The sequence below is a fragment of the Homo sapiens genome, chromosome 10, assembly GCF_000001405.40.
Source record: "Homo sapiens chromosome 10, GRCh38.p14 Primary Assembly".
Taxonomy (NCBI): Eukaryota; Metazoa; Chordata; class Mammalia; order Primates; family Hominidae; genus Homo; species Homo sapiens.
Genome location: NC_000010.11, coordinates 94,837,837 through 94,856,792, shown reverse-complemented (window position 1 = coordinate 94,856,792; position 18,956 = coordinate 94,837,837). Strand labels below are relative to the sequence as shown.

The following is an 18,956-nucleotide window of genomic DNA, read 5'->3' as shown; positions in this document are numbered from 1 at the left end:
ACAGCAAAAGAAACTACCATGAGAGTGAACAGGCAACCTATAGAATGGGAGAAAATTTTTGCAATCTACCCATCTGACAAAGGGCTAATATCAAAAATCTACAAATAACTTAAACAAATTTACAAGAAAAAATCAAACAACCTCACCAAAAATTGGGCAAAGGATATGAACAGACACTTCTCAAAAGAAGACATTTATGCAGCCAAAAGACACATGAAAAAATGCTCATCATCACTGGTCATCAGAGAAATGCAAGTCAAAACCACAATGGGATACCATCTCACACCAGTTAGAATGGCGATCATTAAAAAGTCAGGAAACAACAGATGCTGGAGAGGATGTCAAGAAATAGGTATGCTTTTACACTGTTGGTGGGAGTGTAAACTAGTTCCACCATTGTGGAAGACAGTGTGGTGATTCCTCAAGGATCTAGAACTAGAAATACCGTTTGACCCAGTGATCCATTACTGGGTATATACCCAAAGGATTATAAATCATGCTACTATAAAGACACATGCACACGTATGTTTATTGTGGCACTATTCACAATAGCAAAGACTTGGAACCAACCCAAATGTCCAACAATGATAGACTGGATTAAGAAAATGTGGCACATATACACCATGGAATACTGTACAGCCATAAAAAAGGATGAGTGCATGTTCTTTGCAGGGACATGGATGAAGCTGGAAACCATCATTCTGAGCAAACTATTACAAGGACAGAAAAGCAAACATTGCATGTTCTCACTTATAGGTGGGAATTGAACAATGAGAACACTTGGACACAGGGTGAGGAACATCACACCCTGGGGCCTGTCATGGGGTGGGGGATGGGGGAGGGATATCACTAGGAGAAATACCTAATGTAAATGACAAGTTAATGGGTGCAGCAAACCTACATGGCACATGTATACCTAAGTAACAAACCTGCACGTTGTACAAATGTACTCTAGAATTTAAAGTATAATAAAAAAAAAGATCCACCATAATTTATTCACACCCTCCAGTAAAATTTTTGTTTCAAGTCTATTATGAACAATCATAAAATAAGCATTTATATATAGTAAGTAATATATACACTCAATGATATCCATGAATACTCAAGAAGTGAAACTGTTTGAAGGACTGAGGTGTTCATATACATTTCTATGAATATTGTCACATTGGCCTTAAAAGAGAATAAATAAATTCACGTGCTCCTTTATGCCCACATTCATTCATTAATTCATTAAGTAGTCATTCATTCATTAAATATTTATTGAGCCAGTATCTTCTAAACAGTGTTTCAGGTGGCTGGTATTCATTAGTGAGCCAAATAAAGTTCTCTTCTCATATGAAATATGTATTTTAGGGAAGAAATACAAACAATAAAAATAAATGCAGAGAATTAGCAAAGTTGTTAGCAACTTCTACTTTCCAGTCAGATTGCCCTTGTCCAATTGTTGGCTCTGACACTTAAAAAGCTGTGTGACCTTGAACAAGATGCTTAACAGATCATCAGTGCAATTGTTTGGTTGTTCAAATGGGTATAATAATAGTATGGTAGGCTAAATAATGTCTGGACATGAAGAGATTACACTGGTGGGTTTCATGTAATCACAAGGGTCTTTACATAAGGGAGAGAGAATAAGAGTAGTAGGAGTAGGAGATGTAACAAAAGAAGCAAGTGTTTGGAGTGAAAGAAAAAGGAGTTCATGAGCCAAGGAATGCAGGCAGCCTTTAGGAGCTGAAATAGGCAGGAAAACAGATTATCCACTACAGTCTCCAGGAGGAAACAGACTAGACAACTTTTTTATTTATCTCACCCATGGGTGTTTGTCAACACCTCTACTAACACTACATTAATACATTTTCATTTCCCAATGAAGAATGTTTAAAATGTATAATGTGTAATTTCCATCTGTATCTTTCCATTAATGTAATACCCATTTCCACTTTCTCTTCTATTAACTCTCTGAATTATTTGCCTATGTTTCTATCACCTTAGAGGTTTTGCTGGCATATTACTTGGTAGGAAAATAGCAAGTTTTAATACAAGATGTGTGATATGAGCCCAATATTGTAAATAAACATTTAACCCTATATGTATGTGTGCATAAGTTATACATATATATATTATGTGTGAATGCACATAATGTACACACACATGCATAGATGTACATGTACATCTGTACCCATATATTATCTTTAAATGTATTCCAAATTGTAAGTAGCTTGTTCTAGGAGATGAGCTGTGAAAAGCATAATCAATTATGTTACTTCTTATTTCTTACATTTCAAGTAGAAGACAGGAAGAGTGGTGAACATAATTTAACATAAGATACTTAGTTGTCTATGCTTTGGAGATGACATGAGGCTAATTATATTAGGACAATAGCATAAAATTATCATCCCACTAATGTTAAAACTAAAACAATATAGGAGAAGCTGAAAAAGATTAAACCCTGGTAATTCTTCTTAGAAATTTTGTTCAGCCAGGTGCAGTGGCTCACGCCTGTAAGCCCAGCAGTTTGGGAGGCTGAGGTGGGTGGATCACTTGAGGTCAGGAGTTCAAGACTAGCCTGGCCCACATAGTGAAACCCTGTCTCTACTAAAAATACAAAAATTAGCCTGGTGTGGTGGTAGGCACCTGTAATCCCAGCTACTTGGGGGGCTGAGGCAGGAGAACCACTTGAATCCAGGAGGTGGAGATTGCAGTGAGCCGAGATCGCACCATTGCACTCCAGCCTGGGGAACAAAAGTGGGACTCCATTTCAAAAAAAAAAGAAAAAAGAAAAGAAATTTTGTTCATGTTTGAAGAGAGAAGCATGACAAAACACATGAGCAGCAATATGAAAGCATATATTTATACTTCATTACTTCATTCTAAGTTGGAAACATGAAGTAATAAAAGTAACCTGATTCTTTATTTAGAGATAAAGTAATGACACTTTAAAGTAACATTAGACCAGGCACAGTGTCTCACTCCTGTAATCCCAGCACTTTGGGAGGCTGAGGCAGGCAGATCAGGAGGTCAGCAGATTGAGATCATCCTGGCTAACATGGTGAAACCCTGTCTGTACTAAAAATACAAAAAAATTAGCCAGGCATGGTGGCACGTGTCTGTAATCCCAGCTACTCAGGAGGCTGAGGCAGGAGAATCTCTTGAGCCTGGGAGGCGAAGGTTACAGTGAGCCGAGATTGCACCACTGCACTCCAGCCTGGGAGACAGAGTGAGACATTGTCTCAAAAAAAAAAAAAAAAGGAACACCAATGTGGAACATTTAATATCCATTCCTCCCAATACCTGATCCTCTGAATATTTCCCTAGAGGTTGGAGCTGCTCCTGGACACAGTTTCTCACTTTCAAATCCAATCCTCATGTAACTCTAAATTTTGGTAATGCTCAGCCAAAATAGCTTCCCTACCATCTTCACCTTTGTCCTTTCTGTCCTTATCGTTTTGAGAACCAGCATGGCCTCCTGGAACTCTATTTTCTTTAATTTGTCACCTGCATTATGCACAAAGGAAGGAAGGTCTAATAACCTGACTCAGCAAATAATAATGCTTTTTGTTTAGAACATGCAGAGAAGAAATGCCTTTGAATTATAATACACAAATCATCTTTCTCTATTTAATAATAATATGTTAATAACTCAACATTAGACAAGTATCAGCATTATGTGGCACTCAATGTAACTATTATAGAGTATGGGGAATAGCAGATATATTTGCACAGTGAAACTTTTTTAATGGAGGCTGAATGTTCACTAGATCTTGGGGGAAGGGAAAATGTGAGATGACGGGTCAGAAGAAGCATCACAGATAGTGAAATTTGGACCAGAGGAAAGAGAGCTGCAGGGACAGCACAGGAGCAGCCAGACCATCTGTGCTTCTTCAGACAGGAATGAAGCACAGCTGATAGAAGGGCGGGACAGAAGCAAATCCATTGACAACAGGAGTTGTGTCAAGGTCCTTTGGGTCAATCAGAGATTTCAGGTTAAAGTTCTGTAAAATGAAGGTCAGGAATAAAAACAGCTCCATGCGGGCCAGGCCCTCTCCCACACAAATCCGTTTTCCTGAAAATAACAAACATAGGGAGAAGTTACTCCTCATGTGTAACTGTGAGAGTGACAAACACTGTCTCTATAACTGGCACAGACAGAATATGCAAGAACTGTTCGGTGAATCATAGGAGGGATGAGTAGATAGATGGGTGGTTGGGTGAATGCATGAATGAAAGGATGGATGGGTGGAAGGATTAATGGATGAATGGATGGATAGGCAACTAAACAATGAATGGACATGCTTACTCTTCACCTATCTTCAGATCTTATCAAGCACCATGTATTCAACAAATGTTTATTGACTGTCAGCTACATGCCAAGCAATTCATTAAAATCTTTCTTGAGAAACATACATTACCTGTCCAGTGGGTTGAACTGAGAAGGGCTTAGGGGAGGAGGCTCACATTCGGCATTTCCCTTTGTATTTCTGGCTCAGTATGCAGCCAAAGATTTTTTTCCCGCTAAGTATTTTCAGAATCACATGTCTAAACATGTTACCCCCTCACTTTAAAACTTTAAATGGCTTCCCTGTCTGTCCTATGGGATAAGATCCAAATAGCTTGACCTGGACCCTCACATTCTGTTTCCAGTCTGATGATCCGTATCACATTTTACACTCTTCACCTCCCCTACTCTCAACTCTAGGCATAGCCACTCATCATCAGTCCCCAACACACTAGGTTTCAAGTTTTATATCATGCTTCTCCTTTTGAACAAGATGAACTTTTCTATTACCACAGTCAGGACATAGGTCAAATTTTATCTCCTTTTTTACTCTCTTTCTCATCTCACTGAGCAAGAAAATGTTCGTTTCCCTGGGATTCCTCAACATCATGTTCATGCTTCCATTGAAAAATGTGCTATGGTCTGAATATTCCTCCCCCCATTTCATATGTTGAAACATAATACCCAGTGCAACATTACTAAAGTGATGAGGCCTTGTAGGCAGTGAATAAGTCAGGAGGGCTCTGTCCTTGCTAAAATAATAACACCAAGAGATGCAAGGGAGCCATTTCTCCCCTTTTGCTTTTTTTGTGCTTCTGCCACATGAGGATACAGAGGGGGTATTATCAATAAGGAACAGGCCCTCACCAGACAGTGAACTTGCTGACACCTCAATCTTGGAATTCACAGCCTTCAGAACTGTGAGAAATAAATTTCTGTTATTTATCAGTTGCCTAGTCTTGGGTATTTTGATATGGCAGAAGAAACAGACAGCATGTGTCACCTAGAATCATAATTTCTTATTTCTTATTTATTTATTTATTTATTTATTTATTTATTTATTTATTTATTTATTTGTGTGCTGGTATGCTTTGTCTCTGTGTCCTTACCCAAATCTCATGTCAAATTCTAATTCCCAGTGTTGGGGGAGATACCTGGTAGAAGGTGATTGCATCATAGGGGATGATTTCTCACTTGCTGTTCTCATGATAGTGAGTGAGTTCTCATGAGATCTGGTTGTTTAAAAGTGTGTAGCCTTTCCTCTTTGCTCTCTCTCTCCTGCTCTTCCATGAAAATATATGCTTGCTTCCTCTTTGCCTTCTACCATGACTGCAAGTTTCCTGAGTCCTCCCAGCCATTCTTCCTGTACAGCCTGTGGAACTGTGAGTCAAATAACCTCTTTTCTTCATAAATTACCCAGTCTCAGGTGGTTCTTTATAGCAATGAAAGAATGGACTGATACATGTGCTAAATGTGAATGCTTGAAGGAAGGTTTCTTTCCTTGTTATCTTGGTATCTACAGTGCCACATATAAAGCAGACATCAAAGGTCACAGAAAAAGGAAGGAGATTCTATCACCAGATGCTCAGCACACACATTTCACGTGTGGAGATCAAACATCCAAAAAACATTGCCATGACTAGGGAAAGAGCATGGTGCTCTGCATCACTGCAGAGTATCCTGCTACATTCTTAATGTCCCCCTGATCCCATCCATGGTTATTTGGCAAAGGTTTTAATATCCTTTATTTAGAGCCAATATCCTGCTCCTGTGGCTCATTATCTCCTTTAATAGCCCTGCCTTCTCTTCTTTTCATCCTCTCTGACTCCTTTGATGTAGCTTAAATGTCTTTACTGCTATTAGTTACTTATGTCTCATTTTGGGTTATAAGATAACAAGAAGCAGACAGCTTTTCCATCTACCTCCCAACCCACAACAGCCTGTTCTTTTCTATATCACAGCCTCAGTCCTATTGAACTACAATGATCTGTTTACTCTGCTTTCCAAACACAGAAGTGAGCCTCTTAAGACCCTATTCTGTGTTTGAGGATAATTTTATCCTACAAGCCCAGCCTAGGGGGTGAGGGACACCATGTGGAAGACACTCAGTGAAGTTCTGGAGTGAGATAACTTCCTCATGGCTAGTGAGGAAAATGTAATTAGTTTTATCTTCCAGGAGGAGTTCTTGAGTACCTCAGTGGTGTATCTAGAGGCAGAATTCAACCAACCTATACTTCAGCTTTCTCAATTTGGAAGAATTGGATTAATTCTCCAAAACCCACTAATCTGGCCGAATAATGAGGATGTATCACCAGCGGAGAAAACACAGGCATTCAGAACAGTGCTCTTGATCATGTACAAAGAGTAACTGTACCACTGCAGAGAAGGCACATGTAAGTTCCAACTGATCAAAAAAGTTATCTTGTACCCTGAAACACAAAGGGAAATAAATTTATATTACCTGCTGAGAAAGGCATGAAGTAGTTACTTTTCTTAAAATTTCCACCTTCATCCAGAAAGTGACGAGGGTCAAACATCTCTGGGTTGGGAAATTCTTTGTTGTCATGTAGCACAGAAGTGAGGGAAGTTAATATGGTTGTGCCCTAGAAACAAGAGACATAGGTGAACTGAGCTGTAAAGAAGTCACGAAGGTTTAAGAAACAGTGGTAATCATGCAGTTAAATCTTTTGATGTACAGATGATGAAACACCATTCCAAAGAAGAGCAGTACCATTTCCAGACAGATAGACGAAGTAATAAGAGGCATGAGCTTAAGGCCAGTGACAATAATCTTGCTAAAATGCCCACAATCAGGAATTGAACAATGAGAACACATGGACACAGGAAGGGGAACATCACACTTCGGGGACTGTTGTGGGGTGGGGGGAGGGGGGAGGGATAGCATTAGGAGATATACCTAATGCTAAATGATGAGTTAATGGGTGCAGCACACCAATATGGCACATGTATACATATGTAACAAACCTGCACATTGTGCACATGTACCCTAAAACTTAAAGTATAATGATAATAAAATTTAAAAAAAATCCCAAAGTCCTATAGGATTTCTTGATTCTTTTCTTTTTTTTTCTCTTTGTACTCTTCTGACCAGCTAATTTAAAATGAACTTGCTTTTGAATTTCCTGTTTCTTCTTCTTAATAAAATCTGCTGATGAAAAAAATAAATAAATAAATAAATAAAATGCCCACAACCACATTTGAAGTACTGAGTACTTGCGTACTTGGGTGCAACCTTCTGAATCTGTCCTTTTCATCAAGCTTGGGCTTTAGTGCCTGTCCACTCCTGCTGCTCTATTTCATCACTTCAGTTTTCACAAATCTTATGTGTAGACTATGACTTAAAGGCACAAGACAGGGATGTTCTCTCTCACCACTCCTATTCAACATAGTGTTGGAAGTTCTGGACAGGGCTATCAGGCAGGAGAAGGGAATAAAGGGCATTCAATTAGGAAAAGATGAAGTCTAATTGTCCCTGTTTGCAGATGACATGATTGTACATCTAGACAACCCCATCGTCTCAGCCCAAAATCTCCTTAAGCTGATAAACAACTTCAGCAAAGTCTCAGGATACAAAATCAATGGACAAAAATCACAAGCATTCTTATACACCAATAACAGACAAACAGAGAGCCAAATCATGAGTGAACTTCCATTCACAATTGCTTCAAAGAGAATAAAATACCTAGGAATCCAACTTACAAGGGACGTGAAGGATCTCTTTAAGGAGAACTACAAACCACTGCTCAATGAAATAAAAGAGGATACAAACAAATGGAAGAACATTCCATGCTCATAGGTAGGAAGAATCAATATTGTGAAAATGGCCATACTGCCCAAGGTAATTTATAGATTCAATGCCATCCCCATCAAGCTACCAATGACTTTCTTCACAGAATTGGAAAAACTACTTTAAAGTTCATATGGAACCAAAAAAGAGCCTGCATTGCCAAGTCAATCCTAAGCCAAAAGAACAAAGCTGGAGGCATCACACTACCTGACTTCAAACTATACTACAAGGCTACAGTAACCAAAACAGCATGGTACTGGTACCAAAACAGAGATGTAGACCAATGGAACAGAACAGAGCCAACAGAAATAATACCACACATCTACAATGATCTGATCTTTGACAAACTTGACAAAAACAAGAAATGGGGAAAGGATTCCCTATTTAATAAATGGTGCTGGGAAAACTGACTAGCCGTATGTAGAAATCTGAAACTGGATCCCTTCTTTACACCTTATACAAAAATTAATTCAAGATGGATCAAAGACTTAAATGTTAGACCTAAAACCATAAAAATCCTAGAAGAAAACCTAGGCAATACCACTCAGGACATAGGCATGGGCAAGGACTTCATGTCTAAAACACCAAAAGCAATGGCAACAAAAGCCAAAATTGACAAATGGGATCTAATAAAACTAAAGAGCTTCTGCACAGCAAAAGAAACCACCATCAGAGTGAATAGGCAACCTACAGAATGGGAGAAAATTTTTGCAATCTACTCATCTGACGAAGGGCTAATATCCAGAATCTACAATGAACTCCAACAAATTTACAAGAAAAAAACAAACAACCGCATCAAAAAGTGGGTGAAGGATATGAACAGACACTTCTGAAAAGAAGACATTTATGCAGCCAAAAGCACTTGAAAAAATGCTCATCATCACTGGCCATCACAAAAATGCAAATCACAACCACAATGAGATACCATCTCACACCAGTTAGAATGGCGATCATTAAAAAGTCAGGAAACAACAGGTGCAGGAGAGGATGTGGAGAAATAGGAACAGTTTTACACTGTTGGTGGGACTGTAAACTAGTTCAACCATTGTGGAAGTCAGTGTGGTGATTCCTCAGGGGTCTAGAACTAGAAATACCGCTTGACCCAGCCATCCCATTACTGGGTATATACCCAAAGGATTATAAATCATGCTACTATAAAGACACATGCACACGTATATTTATTGCAGCACTACTCACAATAGCAACGACTTGGAATCAACCCAAATATCCAACAATGATAGACTGGATTAAGAAAATATGGCACATATACACCATGGAATACTACACAGCCATAAAAAATGATGAGTTCATGTCCTTTGTAGGGACATGGATGAAGCTGGAAACCATCATTCTCAGCAAACTATCACAAGGACAAAAAACCAAACACCGCATATTCTCACTCATAGGTGGGAATTGAACAATGAGAACACATGGACACAGGAAGGGGAACATCACACACCAGGGACTGTTTTGGGGTGGAGGGAGGGAGGAGGGTTAGCATTAGGAGATATACCTAATGCTAAATGACAAGTTAATGGGTGCAGCACACCGACATGGCACATGTATACATTTGTAACTAACCTGCACGTTGTGCACATGTACCCTAAAACTTACAGTATAATAATAAAAATAAATAAATAAATAAATAAAATAAAGTTGAAGTCTCTGTTGACATGGGAAATGGCCAGAGTGTCTATTCACAGGGCATTTGTGAATAAACATATGATTGAGCTTCAAACGACGTCTTCTAGAATGGTAACAAGTATAGTCACAAGTATAAAACTATTGAATGTTTGTCATTGCCATGTAGTTTGTTTGTTATCATTTAAAGATACGGGAGAGATATTCATTACAGATTAATCATAGCTTAAAAATACAGAAAGATAGCATTAGGAGATATACCTAATGCTAAATGACGAGTTAATGGGTGCAGCACACCAGCATGGCACATGTATACATATGTAACTAACCTGCACATTGTGCACATGTACCCTAAAACTTAAAGTATAAAAATAATAAAATAAATAAATAAATAAATAGATTCTAATAGTTTAAAAAATACAGAAGGAATAATGAAATTAGAAAAAAATCATCTTTTGTAACCATTCAGGTCAAGATCATCAGGCCAGGCAAGGATCATCAATGAAAGATAAAACTATTGGATGTGTGACTTTGGAAACAGGGTGTTCTGTCTTAAAGTGTCATGCCATAGATTTTCATCATTTACACATAAAAGCAGAACTCCTTCAATGGAGAGATCTGGCAGATTCCAACTTATTAGGTCAGGATCTTAGCATAACCAGTAATAGCATATGTAACATTATGTGCCTCTGCCTCACCACTGTGATTCAGTGGAATAGTCAAAGTACTATGTAGTTTTCTTGCCAAAGTCATAACTGGAATATAATATCTAGAAAACAATTATACAAAACAAGCCCGAAGAAAATTTAAATGACTAAAGGCCTCAACTCTTCACAGAGATCAACATACTGAAAGGAAACAGAGGAAATGAACTGTTCTTGATTACAGGAGATAAAAATGACAACATACCCGAATTATGTGCCTGTTTCTTGACTGGAGAGTGAATTGAAAGAAAAAAGTAATTAAAATGTTCCTTAAGAATTGGGAAATTTTAAATATAAGCTGTACAGTAAATAATATTATTGTATCAATAACTCCATACTATGAATGCTATTATTATTATATAGGAGAAAACCATTGTTATTGGGCTACATATACTGCAGTATTGAGGTCTAGATAGATGGATAGACAGATATCAAAGTAGATATATATACACACTGCCATATGTACATATAGATATATGTGTGTAATGTTATTTATTCTTAAAAATTTTATAATACAAAGGTGATGAAAAATTCTACCCACTAAGTTTTCATATAAATAGTCTACAATTTTGTTTTAAAAAATATTCCCTTGAATATTTATAAATAAGTACTATATTAAAATGTTTTTAAGATACCAAAGCAGATTTATTTCAACAAATGTTACTTGAATAAATAGAAATTTATAGACATTGAAGCACGACCATTATTACTCCATACTACAAATAAAAATTAATTTGAAACATGTCATTGATGTAAATATAAGAGCTAAAACAAAAAAATTATGGGAAAGTTAAAACTCAGTCTTTGGAATCTTGTGCTGACAAATATTCTTTAAATAGGACACAAATCAATCGAGCATCTTTGCAGAAAATTCTACTGGACAGGAAAGTCTTATATTGGGCATCAATAAACAATACTCTCTGCACAAGTCCATCCTGCCACCTGTTTTTGTATAGTATGTGAGCTAAAAGTATTTACATTGAACAAATGCAAATAAATAATATTTTTGAAACAAAAATTTATGGGAAATTTACATTTGTTTCTATAAAAATTGGAAGATATTCATTTGTACATTGTCTATGACTGCTTTCATGCTACAATAGCAGATGTCAAGGATTGCAACAGAAACATCATGGCCTAAAAAGTCTAAAATATTTACTATCTGGCCCATTACAGGAACAGTTTGCCAACTCCTCTCTCAGACTATTATCTCCACCTAGATAAGTGGATCCAGCCTGTAGCAGAAGAACACATTTGCCTGATTTGTAAAGAGGGTAGAATTGGCCACGCAGTGCTGCACTTTTCTATAGGCTGTTCCATGAAGAAGGGATTCAGTGGGTGATTTCCTTGCGCTCTGGGTTCTCAGGGCTCAAAAGACACCAGGCATAGCATGAGCTGCCCTGCAGGTGGGTGAATGAAGAAGCTCATCAGATGCAGCATTCCCCTTCAACAGGTCACCAAAGCTGATGCAGTGGATTGGGAGACTGGCGACTCATCCTGATTCTTCAGTATATTTCTCATTAATTAGTTATAGGAGAAGAAATAAGTTTCATTACTATTACCCTCAGACCCTAATTTTGAGAAGCGAAAGCCTTCTCCTGGTTATCTCCTGTGTTTGTGAAAACAGAGTGCATTGAAGTCTTAACTCTTGTACTAAATCAGTGACCTCAGGGTAAGCCCCATAATCTCTTGGTAAATTAACAATTCTGTCTTCTTCAAAAAGTGACATTAGTAATTTCAACCTTACCAATCTCATTGATTTTTCCCCTTGAAAATATAACTTTAGGTTATATTATTTTTAATTTTACTAATAATATGTCTTGGTTTAAATTGGAAAAGAGCAGGTTTGAGATGGCAACTAGAGTGTCTGGATGAATACAGAAACCATGTGATAGAAGGCAATTGTAAAGCTGCCAAGACAAAAATTGGTCTCAAGATTCCAGAGGTAGGAGAACCTCAGAGAGCTAAGCTAACACTGACAGTCAATTTTCGACTGGGTTCACATTATGTACAATTCTGAATCATGACAACATGTGTTATGTCATTATGACTGCCGATGGGAGAGGAATGAATCTTTCTTTGAAGAATATAAACATCCTCTGAAATTCTGCACTTTCTTACACATAACATCTGGTATTTAACCAAAAGTTATTAGGCATTTCAAAGATACAACTAAGTGATCACAAGAAGAAAAGTGGAGACGGGGAGGCAGTAAAAACAGACTCACATTAGGAAACATTTCTCACTTAGTTTTATAAGGCTGGCCTAATCTTGATATCAAAAATCTTGAAAATTCTGAGAAAGAAAATTACAAACTAAATCCTTGTGAATGTAAACACAGAAGCCCTAAACAATATGAAGAATATAAATTCATCTCTATGTGCATACTTATTTCTATTTATATTTATTTCTATATATATGTGAGGGCAAACTTCCCTAATCTGATAAAGAATTTCTACCAAAATCTACTTCTAGCATCATTTTCAATATTGAAATGTAAAACTTCCACTGCTTCCTGCAGATTAGAAATGAGAAACAAGGATGCCCACTATCAGCAATTCTATTCAACACTCTCCTAGAAATTCTAGCCAATGCAATAATGAATGCAATAAAGAGAAATTAAGCCCACAAGAATTGGAAAGTAAGAAATAAAACAATATTAACACAGATACAGTGTACTGTTCACAGAAATTCCAATGAATCTAGAGATAAATTATGAATAGTGATTAGTAAATTTAGCAAAGTTGATAGATTAAGGTCATCAGAATGATAAAAACTAATTATGTTTCAACATACCAAGTACAAAGAAATCAAAAGGCATTTTGTAAGTTTATAACAACAACAAAAATATTAATTATCTAGGAAAAACCAAAGACTTGCAAGCCATGACAACAAAATCACAACATTCCTGGGAAAATAAAGAAAGTGCAAATAAATTGGAAGCATAATTATATTCACAAACAGAAAGACTCAAGGTGTCAAGATGTCAGTTCTTTCCAAACTGACCTATAAATTTAATGTCACCCTGACAGAAATTCTAGCCCAATGTTTTGGGAAATTGAAAAATTAACACCTTCAAAATTTGTCTGGAAATATAACCACTTAAGAGTAGCCAGAACAATCTTGAAGAAAGAATAAATCTGAAAAACACACACTGTGAGACACTAAGACCTGTTACAAATCTTTATAGTCCCAAACTGGAATCAACAGAAAGTCCAATTAAACTGCCATACATAGGAGTAATGCACTTCTCTCACCCAGTGATGGTAGAGGGTAAGAATCATACTGTGAATTTGAGGAATAAAAGAACATGGAGTTGCAGTGTAGGAGAAACAAACTTACCTTGGGAATGAGGTAGTTTCTGAATTTAACGTCACAGGTCACTGCATGGGGCAGGCTGGTGGGGATGAGGTCGATGTATCTCTGGACCTCGTGCACCACAGCATCTGTGTAGGGCATGTGGCCCCTGTCCTGCATGCAGGGGCTCCGGTTTCTGCCAATGACACGTTCAATCTCTTCCTGGACTTTAGCTGACAAGACACAAGTAAGAACTGATGGAAAAGGAGAGAAATGGAACATTTGTTCTAGCAATTCAGGGGTACATGAATCATGATGAAGGTATCCAAACATCATAATAAATTTAAATTATAGTGCTGGAAGTATGTGTAACTTAAAGAGAGGACTGCTACAGATGCACAAATGTGTAACTGTGCCTTAAGCTAGGCATTAAGAAAAATCTGTACACATATATGCAGAGAAAATTATTATCAATAAAGGAAGGCAGGAAGAAATGAAAGAAGGAAGAGAAGCCCACAAAACAACCAGTAAACAAATAACAAAAAGGCAGAAGTAAGTCCTTACTTAATAATAACACTGAATGTAAATGGACTAAAATTTCCAATCAAAAGACAAACTGACTAGATGAAGAAACAAGACCTATTAATCTGTTGCCTAAAAAAAAAAAAAAAAAAAACTTCACTTAAAAAAACACACATAGACTGAAAGTAAAGGAATGGAATGAGACAGTACATTCCAAAGGAAATAAAAAAAAGAGGAAGAGTTATTATATTTAAAGCAGACAAAATAGATTTCAAGACGAAAACTGTAAGAAGAGACAAAGAATATGACAATTGATGATAAAGCAGTCAGCTTGGCAAGAGGATGGAACAATTTTAAGTATATATGCAACCAAAAATGGAGCACCCAGATATGTAAAAGAAACATAATTAGAACTAGAGAGAGATAGGCCCCAATACAATAATAGCTGGAGACTTCAACAACCCACTTCAGCATTGGACAGGTCATCCAGATAGAAAATCAACAAGGAGATATTGAACTTCATCTGCACTATAGACCAAATGGGTCTAATAGATATTTGCAGAATATTTCATCCAACTGCTACAGATACACATTCTTTTCCACAGCACATGGATTGTTATCAAGAATTGACCAGATATTAGGTCACAGAACAAGTCTTAAAACACTCAAAGAAACTGAAATAATATCAAGCATCTTCTCTGACCACCAAGTAATAAAACTAGCCATCAGTAACACAAGGAATTTTGGAAACTACACAAGTAAATGGAAATTAAACAATATGCTCATGAATGGCCAGTGGGTCCATGAAGAGATTAAAAAGGAAATTCAGAAATTTCTTGAAACAAATGATAATGGAAACATAACATACCAAAACCTAGGGGCTACTGCAAAACCAGTACTAAGAGGAAAGTTTATAGCTCTAAGAGCTTACATCAAAAATGGAGAAAATTTTCAAATAAACAATCTAATGATGAATCCTAAAGAATTAGATAAGCAAGAGCAAATGAAAACCAAAGGGCAACCCCCTTTGGGTCCCCTCCCTTTGTATGGGAGCTCTGTTTTCACTCTATTAAATCTTGCAACTGCACTCTTCTGGTCTGTGTCTGTTATGGCTGGAGCTGAGCTTTCACTCGCCGTCCACCACTGCTGTTTGCCACCATCGCAAACCCGCTGCAGACTTCCATCCCTCCAGATCTGGCAGGGTGTCTGCTGTGCTCCTGATCCAGTGAGGGTCCCATTGCCATTCCCGATAGGGCTAAAATCTTGCCATTGTTCCTGCATGGCTAAGTGCCTGGGTTTGTCCTAATCAACCTGAACACTAGTTGCCGGGTTCCACGGTTCTCTTCCATGACCCACAGCTTTTAGTAGAGCTATAACACTCACTGCATGGCCCAAGATTCCATTCCTTGGAATTCGTGAGGCCAAGAACCCCAGGTCAGAGAACACGAAGCTTGCCACCATCTTGGAAGTGGCCCACCACCATCTTGGAAGTGGATCACCACCATCTTGGGAGCTCTGTGAGCAAGGACCCCCTTGGTAACATTTTGGTGACAACAAAGGGACATCCAAAGCGGTAATATTGGACCACTTTCACTAGCTGTTCTGTCCTATCCTTCCTTAGAACTGGAGGAAAATACCAGGCACCTGTCGGCCAGTTAAAAATGATTAGCGTGGCCACCAGACTGAAGACTCAGGTGTAAGGTTATCTGGGGAAGGGCTTTCTAACAACCAACCCTTCTATTGGGAATGTTGGTCTGCCTGGAGCCAGCTTCCACTTCCAATTTTCTTGGGGAAGCTGAGGGCTGACTAGAGGCAGAAAGCTGTTGTCCCGAACTCCTGGCAGTAGCCGGTTGAGATCATGGCGCAGCCAGAAGTCTCTACTCACCTGTCACACATGCGTGCGCCCCTACCTTTCCTTCTGACCCATACCTCCTGGGTCCTGACCACGACTTTCTTTAAAGTGTAGCCCCAAAATTCTCCTTACCTCTGAATCTACTTCCTCTGATCCCTGCCTCCTAGGTACTAATGTTTCAGACTTTCATTTCCTCTAGCAAGTTGTATCTCTAAAGGGATCTAAGGAGTCTCTACGCTGCATCCTTAGGCACCTAGGCTATAACCCAGGGAGTCTTATCCCTGGTATCCCTCCTGATTTAGGTATACAGCTCTCGACATGGGCAGTTACGTGGGACCCATTCCCCACCACACTTGCCAGGGCCCCAAGTTTGTAATGGCTAAGAGAGAGAGAGACAGAGAGAGAGACAAAGAGGGAGTCAAAGAGAAAAAGAAAGAAAAAGATAGAAATAGTTAAAAAAAAAAAAAGTGTGCCCCATTCCTTTAAAAGCCAGGGTAAATTTAAAACCTGTAATTGGTAATTGCCACTTTGTTGTCAGTGTAAATAAAGGCGTATTAAATCCTTAACCCAGTAACCCGCGGATGGGCCAAATGCATTCAGTCGGTAGAAACAACTACTTAACTAAAAGTAGAAAAGTAACTTTTAGAGGAAACCTCATTGTGAGCACACCTCACCAGTTCAGAGTTATTCTTAGTCAAAAAAAAATAAAAAAAAGCAAAAAGGTAGCTCACTAACTCAAAAATCTTAACGTATGGGGCTATAAGGTTAGAAAAAGGTAACGTAACTCCAACCTCTGATAATTCCCTTAACCCAGCAGATTCCCTAACAGGGATTTAAATCTTAATTACCATACAACAGTCCGACCAGACATAGGAGGAACTCCCTTCAGGACAGGATGATAGATGGTTCCTCCCAGGTGACTGAGGAAAAAACCTCAATGGACATTCAGTAATTGATACAGAGACTCTTGTGGAAGCAGATTTAGAAAAATTGCCTAATAATTGGTCTCCTCAAAAGTGCGAACTCTTTGCACTCAGCCAAGACTTAAAGTACTTACAGAATCAAAAGACTATCTCAATCCTGACTCAAAAGATTCAATACACCCTCTCTGAAACAAATTTGCATAAGAACTGTTGTTTATGCGAATGCATGTTGATGGGGCAGCTGGGTTGTTATGAAATACTCAGGAACCCAGCCCAGCTCTAGGACTCACCCCTGAGTACAAAGGCAATGTTAGGCATGCTGGTAAAGGACCACTAGAACCCAGCAGCCCGGACCCCTTTCTTTGTGGTCAAGAAAGGCAGGAAAAACAGTTGCAGGACTGCTACATCGGTAAGCATAAGTAATCCGATTAGCAGAGGTCCATGGGTGGTTATACAGCCTGGAAAGGAACTCACCTCTGAGTGCAAAGGCAATGTTGGGCAAGCTGGTAAAGGACCACTAGAATCCAGCAGCCAGGGCCCCTTTCTTTGTGGTCAAGAGAGATGGAAAAACAGATGCAGGACTGCTACATCGGTGAGTGTAAGTAATCCGATAAGCAGAGGTCCATGGGTGGTTATGCACCCTGGAAAGGAATAAGCATTAGGACCATAGAGGATGCTCTAGGACTTATGCTCATCAGAAAATGACTAGGGGTGTTGGCTTCCCTATGTTCTTTTTTCAGATGGGAAACATTTCCCCCAAGGCAAAAACACCCCTAAGATGTATTCTGGAGAATTAGGACCAATTTGACCCTCTAAGAAAGGGTCAAAGAAAGAAATGACTTATATTTTTCTGCAGTACCGCCTGGCCATGATATCCTCTTCAAGGGGGAGAAACCTGGCCTCCTGAGGGAAGTATAAATTATAACACCATCTTACAGCTAGACCTCTTTTGTAGGAAAAAGGCAAATGGAGTGAAGTGCCATATGTACAACTTTCTTTTCATTAAGAGACAACTCGCAATTATGTAAAAAGTGTGATTTATGCCCTACAGGAAGCCCTCAGTCTACCTCCCTATCCCAGTGTCCCCCTGACTCCTTCCCCAGCTAACAAGGATCCCCCTTCAACACAAACCGTCCAAAAAGAGATAGATAAAGGGGTAAATAATGAACCAAAGAGTGCCAATATTCCCTGATTATGCCCCCTCCAAGCAGAGGGAGGAGGAGAATTCGGCCCAGCCAGAGTGCATGTACCTTTTTCTCTCTCAGACTTAAAGCAAATTAAAATAGACCTAGGTATTTTAGATCAGATAACCCTGATGGCTATATTGATGTTTTATAAGGGTTAGGGCAATCCTTTGATCTGACATGGAGAGATGCAATGTTACTGCTAAATCAGACACTAACCCCAAATGAGAGAATTGCCACCATATCTGCAGCCCAAGAGTTTGGCAATCTCTGGTATCTCAGTCAGGTCAATGATAGGATGACATCAGAGGAAAGAGAATGATTCCCCACAGGCCAGCAGGCAGTTCCCAGTGTAGACCCTCACTGGGACACAGAATCAGAACATGGAGATTGGTGCCACAGACATTTGCTAACTTACGTGCTAGAAGGACTAAGGAAAACTAGGAAGACTATGAATTATTCAATGATGTCCACTATAACACAGGGAAAGGAAGAAAATCCTACTGCCTTTCTGGAGAGACTAAGGGAGGCATTGAGGAAGCATACCAGGCAAGTGGACATTGGAGGCTCTGGAAAAGGGAAAAGTTGGGAAAATTATATGTCTAATAGGGCTTGCTTCCAGTGCAGTCTACAAGGACACTTTAAAAAAGATTGTCCAAGTAGAAGTAAGCTGCCCCCTCGTCCATGCCCCTTATGTCAAGGGAATCCACTGGAAGGGCCACTGCCCCAGGGGATGAAGGTCCTCTGAGTCA

At 38.7% G+C, this 18,956-nt stretch overlaps 1 protein-coding gene across 1 annotated transcript in view; it reads right to left on the bottom strand.

The window, feature by feature from the left end:
* Nucleotides 1,246–18,956, bottom strand: part of CYP2C19 (cytochrome P450 family 2 subfamily C member 19) — a 92,867-nt gene continuing 75,156 nt past the window's right edge. The window contains exons 7-9 of the mRNA NM_000769.4: nt 13,769–13,956; nt 6,735–6,876; nt 1,246–4,060 (exon numbers count right to left, since the gene is read on the bottom strand). Coding sequence (NP_000760.1) covers nt 3,879–4,060; nt 6,735–6,876; nt 13,769–13,956 — 512 coding nt within the window. The 3' untranslated portion in view covers nt 1,246–3,878. The remainder of the gene's footprint in view (nt 4,061–6,734; nt 6,877–13,768; nt 13,957–18,956) is intronic.